The 20,636-nt window shown below is 39.8% G+C and overlaps 1 protein-coding gene across 8 annotated transcripts in view; it reads right to left on the bottom strand.

Annotated features, from left to right (window-relative positions):
- Window positions 1–20,636, bottom strand: part of KIF13B (kinesin family member 13B) — a 196,111-nt gene that overhangs the window by 59,170 nt on the left and 116,305 nt on the right. For all 8 annotated transcript variants that reach the window (XM_011544459.4, XM_005273458.2, NM_015254.4 and 5 more), the window contains 9 exons: window positions 19,931–20,093; window positions 15,710–15,856; window positions 14,021–14,170; window positions 13,616–13,744; window positions 7,593–7,763; window positions 5,861–6,018; window positions 4,086–4,218; window positions 675–821; window positions 35–64 (listed from right to left, as the gene is read on the bottom strand). In XM_011544459.4, the coding sequence (XP_011542761.1) occupies window positions 35–64; window positions 675–821; window positions 4,086–4,218; window positions 5,861–6,018; window positions 7,593–7,763; window positions 13,616–13,744; window positions 14,021–14,170; window positions 15,710–15,856; window positions 19,931–20,093 (1,228 nt within the window). The remainder of the gene's footprint in view (window positions 1–34; window positions 65–674; window positions 822–4,085; window positions 4,219–5,860; window positions 6,019–7,592; window positions 7,764–13,615; window positions 13,745–14,020; window positions 14,171–15,709; window positions 15,857–19,930; window positions 20,094–20,636) is intronic.

Here is a 20,636-nt window from a genome sequence, read left to right on the forward strand (position 1 = left end):
TTATTTGAGATGAGATTAACAGGTGCTAAATTACCTGGTAGCTGTCCATGTCTTCCTCTTCCTCCTAAAAGAAAATATACATTACAAAGAACTGAATTATTGATTTATCCAAGAATCAGGCTACGCTAAACAATCTGACTCTTTACCCATAATTTATATTTTCCAATTGAATTAATATACTATTTCATCTCCCACCTACCCACACCCTCACTCTGGGTTTTACAGTTGTCAGGAAGTTGGAGCCGCTCACAGAAGAGTGAAGCACACTCATTTGACCTTTTCGGGAACCAGTGCAATGCTCTCCCTGCTGGGTTTATAGTCCCACTCGCCAGGGGAAATCAAACACCTGCTGGCAAATAGTCTTTACAAGCCAGTAGGGGGTTTCTCCAGAGGGGTGGGGTGATGTTGAGGAGTTAATCACTAGCAGGCACTGTGGAATCTATGAAGGCTGAGACGTTTTAACCCTCAGCTTGCCACCTACACCAGGGCAAAACCAGTAATACAGTCCGATGCAGTGATTCCATGAAAATGCAAGACACAAAAAAAGACAGCAAAGGTAAACAAAGAGATTCACGGAAAGAAATGTTCATAAAAAGTAGTTTCGTACGGGTTCCAAAAGGCACTCTGGTCTGATTTTGTCTTTCAAGAAGAACATAACAGGTATAGAAACTTACATGGAAGGTCTCATGTGTTCTGGGGGCTCTGAGCGGTCTAACTTTGACACATCCAATGCCAACAGACAGTATACATTCTTCCATCAGTGGTAAAGTCCCAGATTCCTGCACTGACTTCACTTCGACTTGAACTCTCCGGGACTGCCCCTGGGTCACAGACAATTTAGAGTCTTAAAATCAGTGTCTTGATTTCCAAAAATTTGATTTAGAGAGACCCCTACAGGCTGATGTTGAGAAAAATGTTTAATTCAGACACTGTCACTATACCTTATTGTTAAGCATTAAAATACAAATTTAAAAACTAATCGGGAAAAATCATTTCCCTTTTAAGTGAGCTAAAAAACAGAATAAATATATGTTTACATATTCTTTCAATAAGAAGTAACATTAAAAAATTCTAAGAAAGGAAATGCAAACAGTTGGCCAATAAAAAAGTTCAACTTACTGATAATTAAATAAATACAAATTAAATTAAAGCATGACACACCTGTATTTTCACTTCCTAAATTGGCAATTATATTTTAAAAGAGGAATTTCCAATGCCCTACATTTACGAAACAATTTCATACACTGTAAGTGGGAATTTAAATTGGTGCAAGTTTTCTGCAAGGCAATTTGACTTAAAAATATAAGTTCCTTTAACCCAGCAATTCAACTTTCCAGAGAGCTAAGTAAATAATCATACATATACACAAAAAATCTTAAGCACCTTTAAGAACAAAAAATTAGACACAAATTGAATGAATATTTTATACATTCAATAACTTTATTATTTGTTTTATACAAAACAATAACCTTAAACTGTGAAACATATAATGAAACACTATACAGTTGTTAAAGTATTACTGTAGAAAAACATATGACATGTTAAAGTACCAGTAAATATAAATATAAATATAAAATCAGTAAATATAAAAAATCAGTATCAGTAAATATATCAGTAAATATATTATGTAAATAACTTGTATATAATACATAAAATATAATTTACTGATATAGCAGTATATATCATTAATATAAATATAAATATATAATTATAAAAAATAATCAGTAAATATGATTGTTTAGACTGTTTATTATGTGAGACTTGGTATATATTTACAATGAAGTAATATTTTAAAAGAGAATTCACAGTATTCCCAAATTACTGACTTCAAACTTGGTTTATAAATTTTAGAAATGTAAAATAGCATTTGAAAAACAGAATTTAAATGTTCAATTGCAAGTCAATTACTCTTGCCCTCTTCCATCAGATTTTAGTTCCCAAGAGCTCTGCATGATCAGGAAAATCAGCTCAGGCAACCACTGATCCTATCAAACTCCATTTGAGTGGCTGGGATACAGATGTTTTCTGATTTAATATCACCAAGGACTAAGCCTCAGATATTTTGTGGGAAAAGTCCTAAAGAAAATATTTTAATAGCCTAAACAGTTTTGTCATTTCAATTAGCTACCTTTTATTTGCTTAGTTTGCCTAAGCACTTTCCGAAGTGATCTATTGTGAATCTGTGCCTAAGTGTGAAGGGTGAAGTGCGCACTTGAAGGGAAGATTCCTAAGGAGAGGGAAGAAAAGGAGAGAAAGGATCTGGCAATGGTTTACTGTTCCACAGAAAAACGTTTAAAAGTACACTTAAACTATTAGACAGAACTTCCTGTCACTACTGATATTTGACCATTTATTTCTACAAAAACAGCACTTTTCACATGGTTAAAGCTAATCAGTTGTCCTCTGCCACGTTCCCGTTCAAGAACAATACAAGCCAATTTTCAAACATATTAGACTCAAATGAGCCTAGCATTCAAGGCCCTCCGAAACCAGCCTCCAGAAGCTTCTGCAACCTGTTCTCTTCCTGTTTTCCAGCTCTTTCTCCACATGACTTTCTATCCAAATGGACCTAATTTATGGCCTCTGTGTCTTTATTCTTGCCATTAAGTTGGTGAAAATTGCGGTTTTTGCCATCATATAAGAAAAATCCTTTCAGAACTTGCATGATTTTTTCAATATGAAGGTAAAGAGGCATATCCTTCAAAAAGCCCTTTCCTGATAAACCAACATTTCTTTGAACACTTTTAGTAAAGGGTGTCAGAAGTATGACAAATACTTAAATATCCAATTTACACTAAATCATAGAAAATTATCCAGTCTTGCCTTCCAGTAGATGAATTTCTAAGACTTCGAAGAAGATACATATATTTTTTAACAGACGCCCAGAAAAAGATGTTCTTCACACCCTTAAGAATTCTATTTTATGTGTACAACACATGCTTTAATTTAAACTAATCTTTCACTTTGCTAAAATTTATTTGCTGGGGTCAGAGAACAAGTGTTTATCATCATCCTCCTCTTAAAACATTCAGAAACTTAAACATGTAAGCAAATGTTCTCTTTCCTTTAATTTTCTCTATTTTGCTTTGAATGCTTTCTACGCTCGTTTTCTAGAGCGATTCTAGTATTTTACTGCTGTTTTAAAGTATGGAAACTCATAGAATATGGCAGTCTCCTAAACAATGCATTAAAGTATAGCAAAAAAAAAAAATTCCAAATCCTGTATACAAATTAAATTAAAAATTTCCCTCTCACTGTTAGTTGGCAGCACAGACTCTGCGGATGCATGTGGGGTTAAGTGGCCACTCCCATATTCTTCTCTGCTCTGTGGATTCTGGCATGTGTATCTACCCAGCTGTGTGTACTTAACACCTGGCATGTCAGGCCCTGTGCTTTAAACATGCATCTCTCTTAATCCTCACACTAATCTCATGAAGGTGGTGTTATCATCATGTCTACATAACAGGCGAAGGCAAGAGGTTATTGAACTTGCTCAGGGATAGACAGCCAGGACACTAGAGAGCCAGAATTGAGCCCAAGCATTTTACAATCTGAATGCTTATTATTTCTGGCATGTCACATAGCTTCTCCTTGTCTTCCTAAATGTTCTAAAGCTGTTTGATATGTTTGGTTTATGTCCTACAAATCAATTCTTTCTAAAGCTGTTTGATATGTTTGGTTTATGTCCTACAAATCAATTCTAAGTTTTCCTTTAAAGTTTATCTTTTTCTTACCTAACACTAACAGAACTGGTTTTTAAAATATTATAAATATCAATATTTGGCTGACAGCAGTGGCTCACACCCATAATTCCAACACTTTGGAAGGCCAAGGTGGGAGGATTGCTTGAGCCTAGGAGTTCAAGACCAGCCTGGGCAACAAAGCGAGATCCCTGTGTCTCTACTTCATTAAAAGAAAAAAAAATTTAATAGCAATACTTGTGACATGAGATAGGAGAATTTTAATGTAAGAAATGGACTTGGCCAGTCTAGATTTCATTATTGCCAACATTTCCACTAAAAAGAAGCCAATATTAAGCTTTCTGGCACCAAAGAATCTAATGTAAACATTCACAATCTTGTTACCTGCCGGAGCTGGAAGATTCCTCCTGTTGGGACATCCTTTGCAGAAATCACTTCTACAGGGCAGTATTCACCATTCTCATTCTGTTCCAAGATTTGAACCCAGAATTCCAATTTCCTGGTCACTTCACTCCATCTAGGAAATAAGCGAAGTTCTTGGAAAATCATACATTTCTATTTCATTACAGGCAGCTTAGGGTCCTACACACATAAGAATTAACAATGAAAATGACCTCCAAACAGAGTAATTCAGAATGATCTGTAGTTCAGTGAATACCATGCATGTACATACTGGCAAGAATAATGGAAAGCAAAGTTAAACTCACAATATCAGAACTAGAAATGGCTCCTTTACTTTGTTCAAAAAGATGTAATGACAAATCTATTTCAAAGTCGTTACTCAAAAATTGGAAATTCTAATCAGATGTACAGAAGCAGCAAGTACACAGCCATAAAAAAATACAACCAAACAAAATCATATCCCTTGCAGCAACTTGGATACAGCTCGAGGCTATTATCCTAAGCAAATTAATGCAGAAATAGAAAAGCAAAAACCCCATGTTCTCGCTTATAAGTGGGAGCTAAACACTGGGTATTCACAGACAAAAAGATAGCAACAACAGACACTGGAGACTCCCAGGAGTTGGGGAGCAGGGAAGTGAGCAAGGGTTGAAAAACTACCTCCTGAGTACTATGCTTACTACCTGAGTGACAGGATCAATCACACCCCAAAGCTCAGCATCACACAATATACCCAGGTAAACAACCTGCACATGTACCCCCAAATCTAAAATAATTTGAAACTATTAAAAAAAAAAAAGGAAAAAAAAAGCAAATACAGGGGTTGTCTTTTCGTAGATAGACAAAGGTAGTGCCATATGCTTCAGTGATGTGCCAAGTATTTTTCTCAGGTCAGTAAGAGAATCAAGGAAAAAATCTCAAATGTCACTTTCTAATTTAGTATTTGCTAAACTATCCAAATGCAAAAAAGAAAAAGAAAATCTGTTTTCATCTATAATTAGGTGAAAAGCACAAACATATGCAATTTCAGTCAATCCCTTTTAATGCTTCCTTTTAAGTCCACAAAGAAGCCTACCTCTTTCCAACACTGATGCCACTCAGAGCTATGAGCTAAAGACAACACTAGAGTGAATCTTGATCCATACTCTCTACAGCTGATTAATTAAAAGTAATTCATAACGGTAAGTCACTATTCTCCAAAATTCATTTCACTGTTTCTTCTTAATCAGCTACAAATTGAACTTTCTTCCATTATTCTCTGCAGTCCACTTCCCTAAGGAAGTTTAATTGTGTGATTAATACCCTGGAGACACTGCCATCCCTTCAGGGAACACTGGTCATGCTCAGAAAATAGTAACCTCTATAAATGGCAGTACTAATCTCTAGCAATTTTTAAAAATTATAAATGGAATCTAGCCAGGCATGGTGGCTCACGCCTGTAATCTCAGCACTTTGGGAGGGTGAGGTGGGCAGATCACTTGAGGTCAGGAGTTCAAGACCAGCCTGGCCAATATGGTGAAACCTTGTCTTTACCAAAAATACAAAAATTAGCCAGGCGTGGTGTGCATGCCTATAATCCCAGCTATTCAGGAGGCTGAGGCAAGAGAATTGCTTACTCCCAGGAGGCAGAGGCTGCAGTGAGCCAAGATCGTGCCACTGCACTCCAGCCTGGGTGACAGAGTGAATGAGACTGTCTCAAAAAACAAAAAAAAAATTACATATATATAAATGGAATCAGATGAACATCTAATATTCACCTGTCCCGAAGACTACGTGTCTTTGCTTGGATGATTCCCAAATCCCACAGGGCGGGGTTTTTCCGGGGATCGTTTATTTTATGTCCATATACTTCAATTGCCAATGCTCCTTCGGAAAGATGCTCGATAAAGTCTTCGGTGATGTTAACAGAAAACTCCTGAAACACAACAGCTAATTACAGAAGAGCAAACTCTTTCTGGTAATCTTATGATTGTTTATACCAGACATCACATACTTAATTATATCAGGGAAAAAAAATAGAAAATGGAATGTTTTAGTTATACAGAACTATCATCTAAAACCCATAATGAATGCTCAGATGGCAAAAGGTTCTTGACTTTAAACATAAGTATAAATCGGAATTTTTTTTAAACTTTTCAGATTGAAAGTCTAGTATGTAAGACCACCATTGCATTCTATTTTGTTAGCAATATTTTGGGAGCTATTTTTAAGAGCATAATTGTATAAAGTGTTACAACACTGATCTATAATGTGTTGATATAAAAGTTATATGCAATAAGGTAGTGTGTTGCAAAAACATTTTTTCCCACTTTTTAGAAAGTTAACTATCTCTATTAGGAGAATAAGGAAATAAAATCATTAGCACCAAAAAAAGATCTAATTTGTGAAAATTCTGCCAGCCTGTCCATCTTTATAAGATAGCATATTGCAATTAGGATTTAGCTCTAAAACAGTTTATTAAAGAAATCACAGAATCTCCTATCTCTGTTGTTGTCTCCCCCTCTCTATCTATCTTTAATGTAGTGAAGTATTTTGGCTTTAAACGGATTAGAAAGAGGCCTCTCTCTTGAAAGAGATGAAATGGATCAAGTGTGGTACAGGAGCAAGAAAGACTTGGGGACCCAATAGTCCACATTCTGCTGCTCACCAGCCATGGACAAACCAGTGAAGAACTACTTTGGGCAAAATGACCTCTCTGATTTGTTTGTGTTTTCAGCTGGGAAAAAACAAACAACAACAACAAAAAACGCACTGTTGGCTGGGTGTGGTGGCTCATGCCTGTAATCCCAGCACTTTGGGAGGCTGAGGTGGGCTGATCATTTGAGGTCAGGAGTTTGAAACCAGCTTGGCCAACACGGTGAAACCTTGTCTCTACTAAAAATACAAAAAAATTAGCTGCGCATGGTGGCAAGCACCTGTAATCCCAGCTACTTGGGAGGCTGAGGCAGGAGAATCGCTTGAACCCAGGAGGCAGGGGTTGCAGTGAGCCAAGATCGTGCCACTGCACTCCAGCCTGGGTGACTGAGCGAGACTCTGTCTCAAAACAAAACAAACAAACACAAAAAAATGCACTATCAACAAAGATAACTACGGTGGAGGATCCAAATGAAGGAATAACAAAGAGCTTTACAGAGCATTCGGTGCTCAATAAAGTTAGTTCTTCTCTGTTACCTGTGTTCACTTTCTCTAAAACACAAGTTTCTTAACTGTTTTAGATAATTTCTTCAGTAACCTAATATAGGACATAGATTTTCTTTGGAGAAGAATATGCATATATACATACATATGTGTTTTGTTTCTCATGCAAAAGTTACCTTTGGGTTGTGGAGGAGTATAGATGCATTGACACTTTTTACTCAATCCCCACACTCTACAGAAACTGCTCCAAGACATATAACGGCACATTTAGTCAAAGAAACAAGGTTCATTTTCTGTTTTGTTTTCACATGAGTAATCTAAATGCTGACCTACTCTGGAAAACAAACTCACATTGCAATGATCAAAGACAACCATGCAGTGCGGCTCCTTGCTGACGGAAGAGGAGGAGGTGTCCACTTCAGGAGCGACAATCACCGGCTCCTGTTGATCCCAGAAGCTGTATTTGCAGAACACAAAGTGGGACAGATGCTGTGGCAACCCAGTAGCTTGCAGGATTTTAACCTGAAGGAAAAAGAAGGCTCTGTGTTTTGAAATCTGAGGGTTCCAACAAGCATTCAGAGTTGCAGGTTCCAGCCCCGGCTCTGTCACTAACTTAGGTGCTTATGATATTTATGTTGGCCAAATCCCATTCACCCTGAGACTGGACTTCTGCATCTGGGAAATAGTGGTAGCAATGATTATATTTAGTGAGAGGCTGGACACAGGGTTACAAGGACCTTGACTACAGAGGTGGACGTTGTAAAGTCTAAGAACATTTAAATGTTAGTTTCTCAGAATATAAGAATCATCATCTCGTTAATTCAGATGAAGAAAGATCTCAAACATCAGCACTCTTCAATGATATGAACTTGGCTAACCATGGATATGCCATAGAACAGAACAAGGTTGTCAGGCATAGCGAATGAAGAACAAAATCGGTGTATGGGCCAAGAAACAACAAATATCAAGGAAAGAGCAAAACATGGATTTGATATTTTAAAGTATAAAGAGGAATAAGGTTCTCAACTGAAAATGTTACACAATACTATACAACATTGTTTGGGAAAACTTAAAAGCACCAGAAATGTATAATTTAAAGATGTGGGGAGAGATAGAAGGGAAGTGAAGTTAGTGAATGATGACCATTTTCTGCAGCATTTACGGAAAGCCTTCTCTATGCAGATTTGGGGGAAGGTGTATCAAAGGAAGCGTGCTCCGGACCAGGAGGGCAGGGTGCGGTTGTAACAAAGTGCAACTGGAGATACATGTCTAATCAGACCCAAAGGCCCCAGAAGAAATGCCTATAACAGTTTCTAAGCAGCCAAATATTCTTAATATTTCTTTTGGTGGGCAGCATTAGATTGATTTGTTTTTGAGCCAGGGTCTTGCTGTGTTGCCCAGGCTGGAGTGAGTGGCACAATCATGGCTAACTGCAGCCTCAATTTTAAGAGTTCAAGCGATCCTCCAGCCTCAGCCTCCCAAGGAGCTAGGACTACAGGTGTGTGTCACCATGCCCAGCTAATTTTTTTTATTTTTAGTAGAGATGAGGTCTCACCATGTTTCCCAGACTGGTTTTGAATTCCTGAGCTCAAGTGATCCTCCTGCCTCAGTCTCCCAAAATACTGGGATTATAGACATGAGCCACGATGCCTGGCGTGGTTTGATTTTTAATTTGGAGTTTTTGTGATAAACTGCAATATTCTACAACTTCTCCAACTACGAAGAAAATGAAATCCTGAAGTCGTTAAGCTAAGTTCTGACTTTATAACTGATTAAACCAATTTTCACATGACTGAGCATTAATCATAAATCATATTTTTCACCTGGTCACGTTCTGCATGTTGTATGATTTAATCTACCTCCAGTAAATACAGTTAATGAAAATAAATCTGAATATATGACATATGAGTTCATGTAGTTCAGAAGCCACAAACATAACCTTAACATTTCAGGCTATAATCCCAGCACTTTGGGAGGCCGAGGATCACTTGAGGTCAGGAGTTTGAGACCAACCTGGCCGACATGGTGAAACCCCATCGCTACTAAAATTACAAAAATTAGCCAGATGTGGTGGCACATGCCTGTAGTCCCAGCTACTCCCAAAGGCTCAGACACGAGAATCGCTTCAACCCGGGAGGCGGAGGTTGCAGGAGCAGAGATCGCACCACTGCACTCTACTCTGGGTGACAGAGACTCTGTCTCAAAAAACAAACAAGCAAACAAGCAAAAACACATTTCGAGAAGTATTGATGACACACAAAATTACACAAACCAGATATTTTCTTCCATACTAGACATATAATGGGTGAGCAACAAACAGGAACCCCCGTTATAATTCATCTTTTCTGTGATGTCAACAGAAGTTTGAAACACCTAGATAGCTACTTCCTGACAGGCTATGAAAGACAGATTGGCTGACATATTTTATTCCTCCAAACCAAACTGAGCAAACAATACTCTGCAATTAATTTTTCCACAAAGTTTTTAAAAACCATCATTTTCTCATTAAGTGTTTTTAAATATTTATATTATTTAAGGCACGGCAATATGGCATTTGGGAAGATTACAAGATATTGGAGTTACATAAAATAAATAGAATAAATATCTCGGCCAGGCGTGGTGGCTCACTCCTGTAATCCCAGCACTTTGGGAGGCCAAGGTGGGCGGATCACCTGAGGTCGGCAGTTCAAGACCAGCCTGACCAACATGGAGAAACCCCGTCTCTACTAAAAACACAAAAAATTAGCCAGATGTGGTAGCACGTGCCTGTAATCCCAGCTACTCAGGAGACTGAGACAGGAGAATCACTTGAATCCGGGAGGAGGTGGAGGTTGCAGTGAGTTGACATCACGCCATTGCACTCTAGCCTGGGCAACAAGAGCGAAACTCCGCTCAAAAATTAATTAATTAATTAATTAATTAATTAAAATAAATAAATCTCACCCACTTATCAGCTTGTGTGCTGGCTCAAATTACTTAAATTCTTAGTTTTCTTAGGCTTCGTTTTCTCCTAGGTGAAATGGGAATATCAGTAGCTACCTTACTCTACAGGGGTGAGACTTACCACACCAATGAAATGAAATGAAATGAAAGAGACCTGTAACAGGTTTTTTTTTTTTTTTTTTTTTTGAGATGGCGTCTCGCTCTGTTGCCCAGGCTGGAGTGCAGTGGTTCGATCTTGGCTCACTGCAAGCTCCACCTCCCAAGTTCACACCATTCTCCTGCCTCAGCCTCCCGAGTAGCTGGGACTAAAGGTGCCCACCACCACGCCCGGCTAATTTTTTTGTATTTTTAGTAGAGACGGGGTTTCACCATGTTAGCCAGGATGGTCTCGATCTCCTGACCTTGTGATCCGCCCGCCTCAGCCTCCCAAAGTGCTGGGATTACAGACGTGAGCCGCCGCGCCCGGCCCTGTGACAGGTATTGAGTAGATACATGTTCAATACATACTTCTTAGTGACTAAATTCCATCTGAAAACCTTTTTTTACCATTCAAAATTAATCACAATTTTAATGTTAAAATAGACAAGAAACAAGATTTAATATGCTGAACTCTCGCCTATGGGCAACCTCTCAGGAATGCAACTGCCAGGAATGAAGACTGTCAGCCATAAGAAATGAACACAGGCTGTTTGGGTTTTGTGGGGTTTTCAAAAAAGTTTTTGCACACAAAAACTATAACCACCACAAGGTGTCAGAGTATCACAGACTTCAACTTGCAGCTGTTCAAGACAGAGGAGCCCAGGAATGTCTGCAGGCACGGATGCTGCGCCCAGGTTTTTAAATATACAAACTTTACTTCATATCAGTGAAAACATGGAGATGTTAATATGTGCATATAGCCTTGTTACAAAAAAACAAATCCAGACTTCTTTGGGGGCTAATTACACTCACCACGCATGACATCTTAACTGTCTCCAGGCTGGTTTCTTTTGTTTTTCTACCAGTGTTCTATTTATTGTCATATAGCTTATTTGTCCTCGTCCTTTTTACATAAAAGGCCATTACATGCCAGTATATGGTCTCTAAAAACCACTTCCCACTGAAAGGAATCAGGTTCCTTGGAGAAATGGCTGATTCCAGGTCTGGGACAGGAAATACACAAGATGAGATCGGAATATTCATCACACCGGAAAACAAGAAAGCTACCCCAGTCCAGGAAGGTTAGAGTTATGACAACAGGACTCAAGGGCCAACTGAAGCGGCTCCCACTGGCCAAAGATGGGAACATTTGTGTTTAAATACAGGTAGTGAATGCAACAGATAGACACACACCAAATATGGTTAAGTCCAAGAGTTCATAATCATGCTTTTAAGACTAAGGACAAAAAAACTAACTTGTCACATTTTGGAAAACCAATTCATTATTTTAAAAATTAGTCCGGATATGGTGGCTCACACCTGTAATCCTTGCACTTCGAGAGGCTGAGACAGGTGGATCACTTGAGGCCAGGAGTTCAAGACCAGCCTGGCCAAGATAGTGAAACCCTGTCTCTACTAAAAATACAAAATTAGCTGGGCATGGTGGCACAGCTACCTAGAAGGCTGAGGTGGGAGAATCGCTTGAACCCAGGAGGTGGAGGGTGCAGTGAGCTGAGATCACACCACTGTACTCCAGCCTGGGTGACAGAGCCAGACTCTGTCTCAAAAATAAAATAAATAAATAAAAATTGTAAATAAAGGGAGAGATGCAACATTTATCCTTCCTTTTCTATACAAATTATCTCTGTAGAGCAAAACAGTTGTTAATAGGAAGATTTTCTCTGGAGAAAAATGAAATGACAATAGAATTATAGAACCATTCTTTTGTAACTCCTAACAAAATGATGCATCTAGGTAAGAATCATCAGTGGCTGATCATCCCTCAAAGACAAACAACTAGACAAGATGTGGCTCCTGATGGAAGAACGCAGGCCACCACCTACAAAGCACCCTGGCTGCCTCCCTCCCCCAGGTAACACCTGTATACCTAACTACCAATTTTCAGCAAATGCATCTTAACATACTAAGTAACACCAATCAGCAGAATCCAGACTATGGGAAACTGCAGGTCAACAACCCAGTTTCTACAATAAATGAATTGCAGGTGTGGTAAGAGAGGCAAAAAGAGAAAGCGAGCGAGTGAGAGAGCACGAGCATACCAGGGCCTAAAGACTGAAACAGACCAAGAGACATACCAACCAAGACAATTAAGAAAACTGACGATTTTAATATTAAGAAATTATTAATTTTTGACAAATTACTAATTTTGGCAATTATGGTTATATTGGTTTAAGGACTCATCTTTTGGAGACACACACTGAACTATTTACAGATAAGATATGATGCTGGGGCGTGCCTGGGGTGCTAAGGGAGGGGGGCAGCACAGAAGTGGCTGAGTGTATGAATGAAACGAGGTTGACCACAGGTGGTAATTGTGGAGCGAAGGTGAATGGGGATTCGTAACACATTTCTCACTACTTTTATTTATGTATATTTGAGATCTTCCATTAAAAAACATGGTATTTTAACCTCATTTTAGGAAGCCCATATGACTTAGAATGTACTACTTTTTTTCAGTAATAAGGATAAATTTCCCAAGTGAGAAGTGCCCTTGTATGTTATTTTACTTTAATAGTAGAAGGTGATATTTGAGAGTTGCATTTACTAGTCCATCACCTTTAAAATGGGCCATTGTGGGGTCATCAACCCTATGTCTCCATCTCCGATCATCACATGACTCAAAGGAGCTGCTCTGAAATCAAGTACAATATAATAAAAATGAACCCTTCAGTGAATTAAGATTCCTCCCCCTTCCTAGTGAAGTAACTGAAACACCAGAAGCCCTCTCAATATACGCGAAGTCTTACAGAAAGCAGCCCAACTCCAACAGCTCCAGCTTCCCGCTACCTTGTGGCTGACACGTAACTTACTCCCTTCAACATCAGCTTCAATTCTAGAGATGTTTACTGGGAAAGAGGACTGGTTCTAGGATGAGCTATGAATTAAGAGTCAGGTTTAGGCCTTCTTCGCTTCACCTCACCTCCTTCTCACTTGTACATTGCACCTGCGCCCCTCGCTGACTTCCTGTCCCCCAGCACCTTCTTTTTATAAGAACTGTTCCTGCAGGGATTCTCAGCCACCAGCAGGTCTGGCTCACTAGCGGGTGTTTGGAAATGGAGGAGGCGATTTTGCATTATCATGAGTGGGGGAGGCTCTGCTCTACTTCCAAAATTTGAAAAGGAACATAATACTTACCATCTAAAGACCTGCAGTTCTCAAAATCAGCTATTAGGTTGGTGCAAAAGTAATTGTGATTTTTGCCATTAAAAGTAATGGCAAAAACTGCAATGACTTTTGTATCAACGTAATACTAGGATGAAGCTGGGACTTACCATGCACACCAGTTTGTTCTCCTGGGTCTCCTTCTCAAAGGAGACCTCTGCCACCTCATCGCCTCCTGCGATCCTCTCCCCAACATCACCACTGAGTCGCATCACCTCCACGTGCAGCCGACCTGCCACCTGCAGCAATGAGGGAAGGCAGAAACATTTCTCCAGATTTGGTTCGTGCTCCCTTGAGATGACCTCTCTTCTCTTTTACAGTCAAGTTGTCAGGTTAATGGTGTATGGGAATTTAGAGGCCTAGTCTCTGACAGTTACTCTACCCTAAGAGTCCTTGGAAACACAAGGTATTAATAAGACACGTTACTGACAAAAAATAGCAACAATATCCCATCACCACCCTCTTGTTTCTTAAACTATTCTCTACAGGAAACAAGGCATGAAGAGAAAACCAACCTCTCCTTTCTGGTTGATGATGGGAACAGCGTATTGTAACTTCACATCATAGAAAAGTGACTCGAGGAAGACATTGGCCACCCCAATGAGACTGTGATTTTCCTGCTCATCATAGAATGGATCAGCACGTTTGAAGTATGATCGTATTACCTGTAAAGAGATTGAGAACACACAACTTCAGAAAAACCATTTACAATAAATGCATTCAACCTACTGCTTTTTGATGCACTCTAGGTTATTAAACTTAACTTTCATCATCCTAACTCTTGTATTTTTTAGAGTAAAACATTCTAAAGTTTTTGCTAAAGCACAGCGCTGTATTACTCCCATACACACTCTTCCTCATTCCCATTCACAATGGAGGTGAGCATCCTCCACCCATGACAGAGCGATCCCAGTAACAGGTCATTACTTTTATCAGCTATTCTCCTTTACATGGAAATTTTGCCACAAAATAAACAATATATGTTGACCAGAAAAAGAAGTAGAGTGTGCTAAACTACACTTCACCTTTCTTTTGGGAAAGACAGTAATTCTTATCTGCTCTGCTTATTCCTAGCAAGTCATCAGATAAAACTGCTGCTAATAAAAGGTGAGCCCTCACACCTATAATCCCAGCACTTTGGGAGGCCAAGGCAGGCGGGTCACCTGAGGTCAAGAGTTTGAGACCAGCCTGCCCAACATGGTGAAATCCCGTCTCTAATAAAAATACAAAAATTAGCCAGGTGTGGTGGTGGGCGCCTGTAATCCCAGCTACTCGGGAGGCTGAGGCAGGAAAATCACTTGAACCCAGGAGGCAGAGGAGGCAGTGAGCCAAGATCGTGCCACTGCACTCCAGCCTGGATGACAGAGCAAGACTCCATCTAAAAAAAAAAAAAGGTGAGCCCCTATGGGAGTGGCTCTTTCATTATTTATTACTGTTGTTTTATTTCTAAGTTGAAATAGGAGAGGGGTACCAAAGAGACAAACATGTTTTAAGCAAAAACATCACCTAACTATAAGAAACATTTTTATTGATAACAATCTGGAAAAATCATTTTTACAAAACAAAAGGCAAAGGAAGTAAACAACTCTATGCGGAAACAGGTCTAACGGTAATGAAAATATGTTCAGACATACATAATATGCACTTCTATTTTAAATACGTATGAGTACATGGCTGATCTAAGTAAGAAAACCTGCAAGTTAAGGACAGAGTACCAATGTATAGATTTATGGCATTTATGTTATGATCAAAACTTCTTCAAAAATGCTCCTTGGAGTGTAAATATTAAGATACCACCGATGTTCAACTTACAAAACATATATTGTAGGTTTATTATCTGCAAGGTTAAACGGGTTGAGCAATGGGAGGAGAGACAAATAATGAGGCCTGGCCTCTGTCCTAAAGAGGTTCCCAGAGAGCACAGGAGACAGACACCCGCACACCAACAGAAGTCAGAATGGAAAGTGGAGAATTCTGCTAGAAATCTAAAAGACAGAAATGAGAAGAAAAAAGAAGATACCAGAAAGAGAGATTATTAAAATTGTTAATTTGCTAAACAATTTAGGGGATTAAAATAAACCTTACTCCAGAAATAGGATTATAATTTTGGAAAAAGAACAATTTTCCCCTGAAATGGGTAGACTCATTCCAGCTTGGCTCCTTCCATAATTACCAATTAAGTGATTTTCTCTTAAATAACTTACTGGGTTATCTTCTTCACACTCTTTCCACTCCTGATAAAGGTCTCTCATATCCAACAGCCTGTTGTCCAGTTTTTCCAAAGACCAAATCTGCTTTCCTTTTCCTTTTCTTCTCACCTGGATTGCAGGCTCACTAAGAAGAGAGCCTCGCTGCAAAGAGAGTAAGAATGACCGTGAGAAACACACAGGCAGCGGGGAAGTCAAAGCTGACAATTCCACCCCCATCAGTCAAATGTCATTACACCAAAACTCAAATGGCAATCATCCTTTAATCTGTTGATTACAAAGCCTCCAAAAAGTCTTACAAGCTATAACATAATACCTTCCTACCCAAGTGCAATCAAAACCTATTTATAAACTTCACTTTAAGTATAAACTTACATTAAAAATTTTTTGGGGGGAGTTGCTGGGCATGGTGGTTCACGCCTGTAATCCCAGCACTTTGGGAGGCCAAGGCAGGTGGATAACTTGAGGTCAGGAGTTCAAGACCAGCCTGGCCAACATGGTGAAACCCCTCTCTACTAAAAATACAAAAATTAGCCGGGTGTGGTGGCACGTGCCTGTAATGCCAGCTACTTGGGAGGCTGAAGCACAAGAATTGCTTGAACCCAGGAGGCAGAGGTTGCAGTGAGCTGAAGTCTTGCCACTGCACTCCAGCCTAGGTGACAGTATGAGACTCTCAAAAATAAATAAATATATACATGTGTGTGTGTGTAAAGAGACAGCATCTCACTCTGTCACCCAGGCTGGAGTGCAGTGGCACGTCATAGCTCACTGCAGCCTCGAACTCCTGGGCTCCAGTGATACTCCTGCCTCAGCCTCCCAAGTAGTTAGGACCACAGGTGCATGCCAATACACCCAGCTAATTTTGTCTGTTTTGCATAGAGACAGGGTCTTGCTATATGGCCAAGGCTGGTTTGGAACTCCTGGCCTCAAGTGATCCCCCTGCTTCAGCCTCCCAAAGCACAGGGATTATAGGCATGAGCCACCACATTTAAATTTTGACTGTAGTTGGAAATGATTTTAAGTTTAAAACCCAAAAGACCACATTTAACAGCAAGTTGAAATAAAAGTATTTTATTCAGGCCACCATATGACCACAACGTTATCAATGGGGAGAGAGGGAAAGTTTGCTGCGGTGTATGGGGAAGAAACGTCCCTCTCAGAGGCTGAATTTTGTTTTATTGTAATGGATGGCATCTTCAGGGGGTATAAAACATGAAACACTTAAAAGAGTAAACTGAAAAGTCCCCGATTCACCCACGTGGAAGCAATTAATGATACCAGTTTCCAAATATGCATTGTTTGGGTTTCTTATTAAGATCATACAGAACTAGATGGAAGCGGTGCTCACACCACATTATTACCGTGCCAAATGCCACTGAGTTATTCACTTTAAAATAGTAATGTTTGGCCAGGTGTGGTGGCTCACGCCTGTAATCCCAGCACTTTGGGAGGCCAAGGCAGGCAGATCACAAGGTCAGGAGTTTGAGACCAGCCTGGCCAATATGGTGAAACCCCGTCTCTACTAAAAATACAAAAATTAGCCAGGCATGGTGGTGGGCGCCTGTAGTCCCAGCTATTCAGGAGGCTGAGGCAGAAGAATCGCTTGAACCCAAGAGGAGGTTGCAGTGAGCCGAGATCGCGCCACTGCACTCCAGCCTGGGCAACAAAGCAAGACTCTGTCTCAAAAAAAATAATAATAATAAAATTAAAAAAAAGTAATGTTCTATTATGCAAGTATCACACCTCCCCCCCAAAAAAAGTATGCTCTGAAGTTTTTCCAGCTTATAAGAGCAATGTGGATTTTTTTCAGAGTAGAACTTGAGCAATGTGTTTTTAATGTAGAAAAAATTTTAGAACTTTTAAAAAACCACAAAGTTAAAAAAAAAAAAGCCCCTATACATTTCCCCGAGGGAGACATATCTACTGGTTATCTAATCAATTTAGGTTTACTGGCTTAATTTTTCAAATGTTCTACTTAAAACTGAAGAGAACTTTGAAATACATTGATGTTTCATTAACATCTTGCCTACAATCATTTTCTAAGAAAAAAATTTAAATAATAAAACAAACATTTGAGAATTCTTACGGTCAAAATGCGTGTGTGTGTTTTTTTTTAATTGAGACAGAGTCTCTTTCTGTCGCCCAGGCTGGGGTGCAGTGGCCCAATCTCGGCTCACTGCAACCTCCGCCTGGGTTCAAGTGATTCTCCTGCCTCAGCCCCCCAAGCAGCTGGGATTACAGGCGCCTGCCACCACGCCTGGCTGATTTTTGTATTTTTAATAGAGATGGGGTTTCATCATATTGGCCAGGCTGGTCTCGAACTCCTGACCTCAGGTGATCCGCCCACCTTGTCCTCCCAAAGTGCTGGGATTACAGGCATGAGCCACCATGCCCGGCCATCTTACAGTCAAAATTAAAGGCCCTCCTACCTTATATTCAGCCAGCCAGTGAATAAATACAAAAATCCCATTTGTGACCTGTGTGGGTAGTGGCTTTCCTGGGGGAGAATGCTGGACCTGGGACTATAATAGCAACGGGCAATATGGTGCAGCTACCATAACTTAGCCCTCTTGCAAAACTGGAAATAAGAAAAAAATTCACCAGAGAAGAGTTCACAGAATGGACAGGACTTTAAACAACTTTTCAAATACCAAAAAATAGTCTGTTGCACGAAAGACTACAGAGTCAGCCTAACTAAGGAGAGATGCCAGGCGACATGAGTTCTTCCAGGCGTTGACATGGCTGCCCCAGTGCAGAGCCACACCTTTCAACAAAGCCCAAAAGAGGTTACGGAGAAAAGGGCTGCGGTCATGCTTACTGGGGAAAAATCTTTCAGGTTTCTGCTTTTTTCAACTTATACACTATAAAATCAAAGAGGATCTTGTACTTCTCAGCCTTCAAGGAGAAACTAGGCCCTGAACCTTCTCCTTGTGACTGGCCTTCCTCTTCGGTTTTTGGTGAGTCCTACTGTACCCAGACTTTGCCCTACAAATACTAGTGTTCTAATTAAGTAAAAATTTTCAAAATACACACAGAGTATACAAAAACAATGATCTGTAAAGTAACGATCATATCATATTTACAATACCTTTCTCAAAATACTAAGAATCATATTTGCCAAATATCTAACCCTGTACAAAACGCTGACCTTGATGCTATGATGTCATAGGGAAAGATGTAATCCTTGCTATCAAATTAGAATAATATCCGCCTGTAATCCCAGCACTTTGGGAGGCCAAAGCAGGTGGATCACTTGAGGTCAGGAGTTTGAGACCAGCCTGGCCAACACAGCAAAACCCCATCTCTACTAAAAATACAAAAATTAGTCCAGCGTGGTGGCACACACCTGTAATCCCAGATACTGAGGAGGCTGAGGCAGGAGAATCGCTTGAACCCAGGAGGCAGATGCTGCAGTGACCCAGGATCACACCACTGCATTCCAGCCTGGGTGACAGAGTAAGACTCCCTCTCAAACAAAAAAAAGAAAAATAGAATATCCAAGATGGATTGATTAAAGTTTTGCTGTGTTGACTACCGCAGGCTAAACAGAACACACGGATCCACAAAAAATTCATCTGAATAGAAAATTCTACCTAATCCATCAAAAATTATGTATGAATGTGATCAAGAGCTAGAAAAGAACCTCAAAAAAAAAAAAAAAAGATGAAGGAAAAAAACCCAACTGAATGGCAAAGATAGAAGATTGTGATGGGACTTTCCCCCTACATTTTATTAAATTTATTATACCAAAAAAAGTATGATCCTGAATATATACATGACACCATGACACAACTAATGAGCAGTTTTACAGAGCAAGCTATTCCAAGTAGAAAATAACATAAGCAAAATGAACACCTAACTTGTGGAGAAGGGGTTGTAGAGTGGTAGCATAAGGAAGGAAAAAAAGACATTCGGGGAAGATTAATCAGAAAAGACTTCTAAGAAAGAATTTAAACAGATTTGAAGGAAGAAAGTTGAGTGAAATGAACTGTCAGGGCCAGGTGAGATGCAGAGTATATTCCCCTAGCAGATAAAATATACATACACTCAAAGGTAGAGAATGGAAAAGGAAGTCAATTCTACCCAAAAGCATGGAGGACAAAGGATCTGGACTTGGGGCAGGCACAGACAGGGATCTGAAGCTTAAATAACACCAGGAAATATCAGGCGATCTTATCCAATGAGATCTTTGTTTTTTTCAAGGAACGGCAACCTCACCTTCCTGTTGGCATCCAGGCTGGAGGCTGGAATCTGTAGGGTAACTTTGTATTCTGTTCTTTTATCCAGCTCCTCAGCAATGTAATTAGCTTCTCTCACCAATAGATTGGCCTTAACAATTTGTTCCCTCAGCCTCATCAGGCTGTTATTCAACGTTGCTTCTCTAAAAAAAAATAAAGAAGCGGCAGAGGTAGGGAAGAGATTAACACAAAGCAGCTAGTCAGAAAATCATACAGTGGTAGTACATCATTGCCAAAGTGTGAATTGAGCTTTTTCCGTGGTCGTCTGCACGCAGGGACTGTGTTGCTGACACTGACCCATGCACACGCTTGAACCTCAACTACACGATAAGCACTGGAAAGCAGCCACACAGCAAGCCGGCTGTAGATAACAGCAGTGCCCCTGTATGCAGATCACCAGGGGATCTTCATCAACTCAAGATTCTGTCTCAGCAGGTCTGAGGTGGAGGCCTGAAATCCTACATTTCTATCAATCTCCAGGTAAAAGGGAAGCTGCCTGCCTGCAGACCAAACTTTAAATAGTATGAGGTTAGTGAAGTACAGTCTGCAACCATGGGATAAGGCATTTCAATGCAATGCTAATTAGCCCATACAGAGATCAAATTTGCAATCTGCATCTCATCAGCACCATGCTTTACCTACCTGAGCTAATCAGTCCAGATAACCAACTTTGTTTTTCTAAAAAT

The sequence above is a fragment of the Homo sapiens genome, chromosome 8, assembly GCF_000001405.40.
Source record: "Homo sapiens chromosome 8, GRCh38.p14 Primary Assembly".
Taxonomy (NCBI): domain Eukaryota; kingdom Metazoa; phylum Chordata; class Mammalia; order Primates; family Hominidae; genus Homo; species Homo sapiens.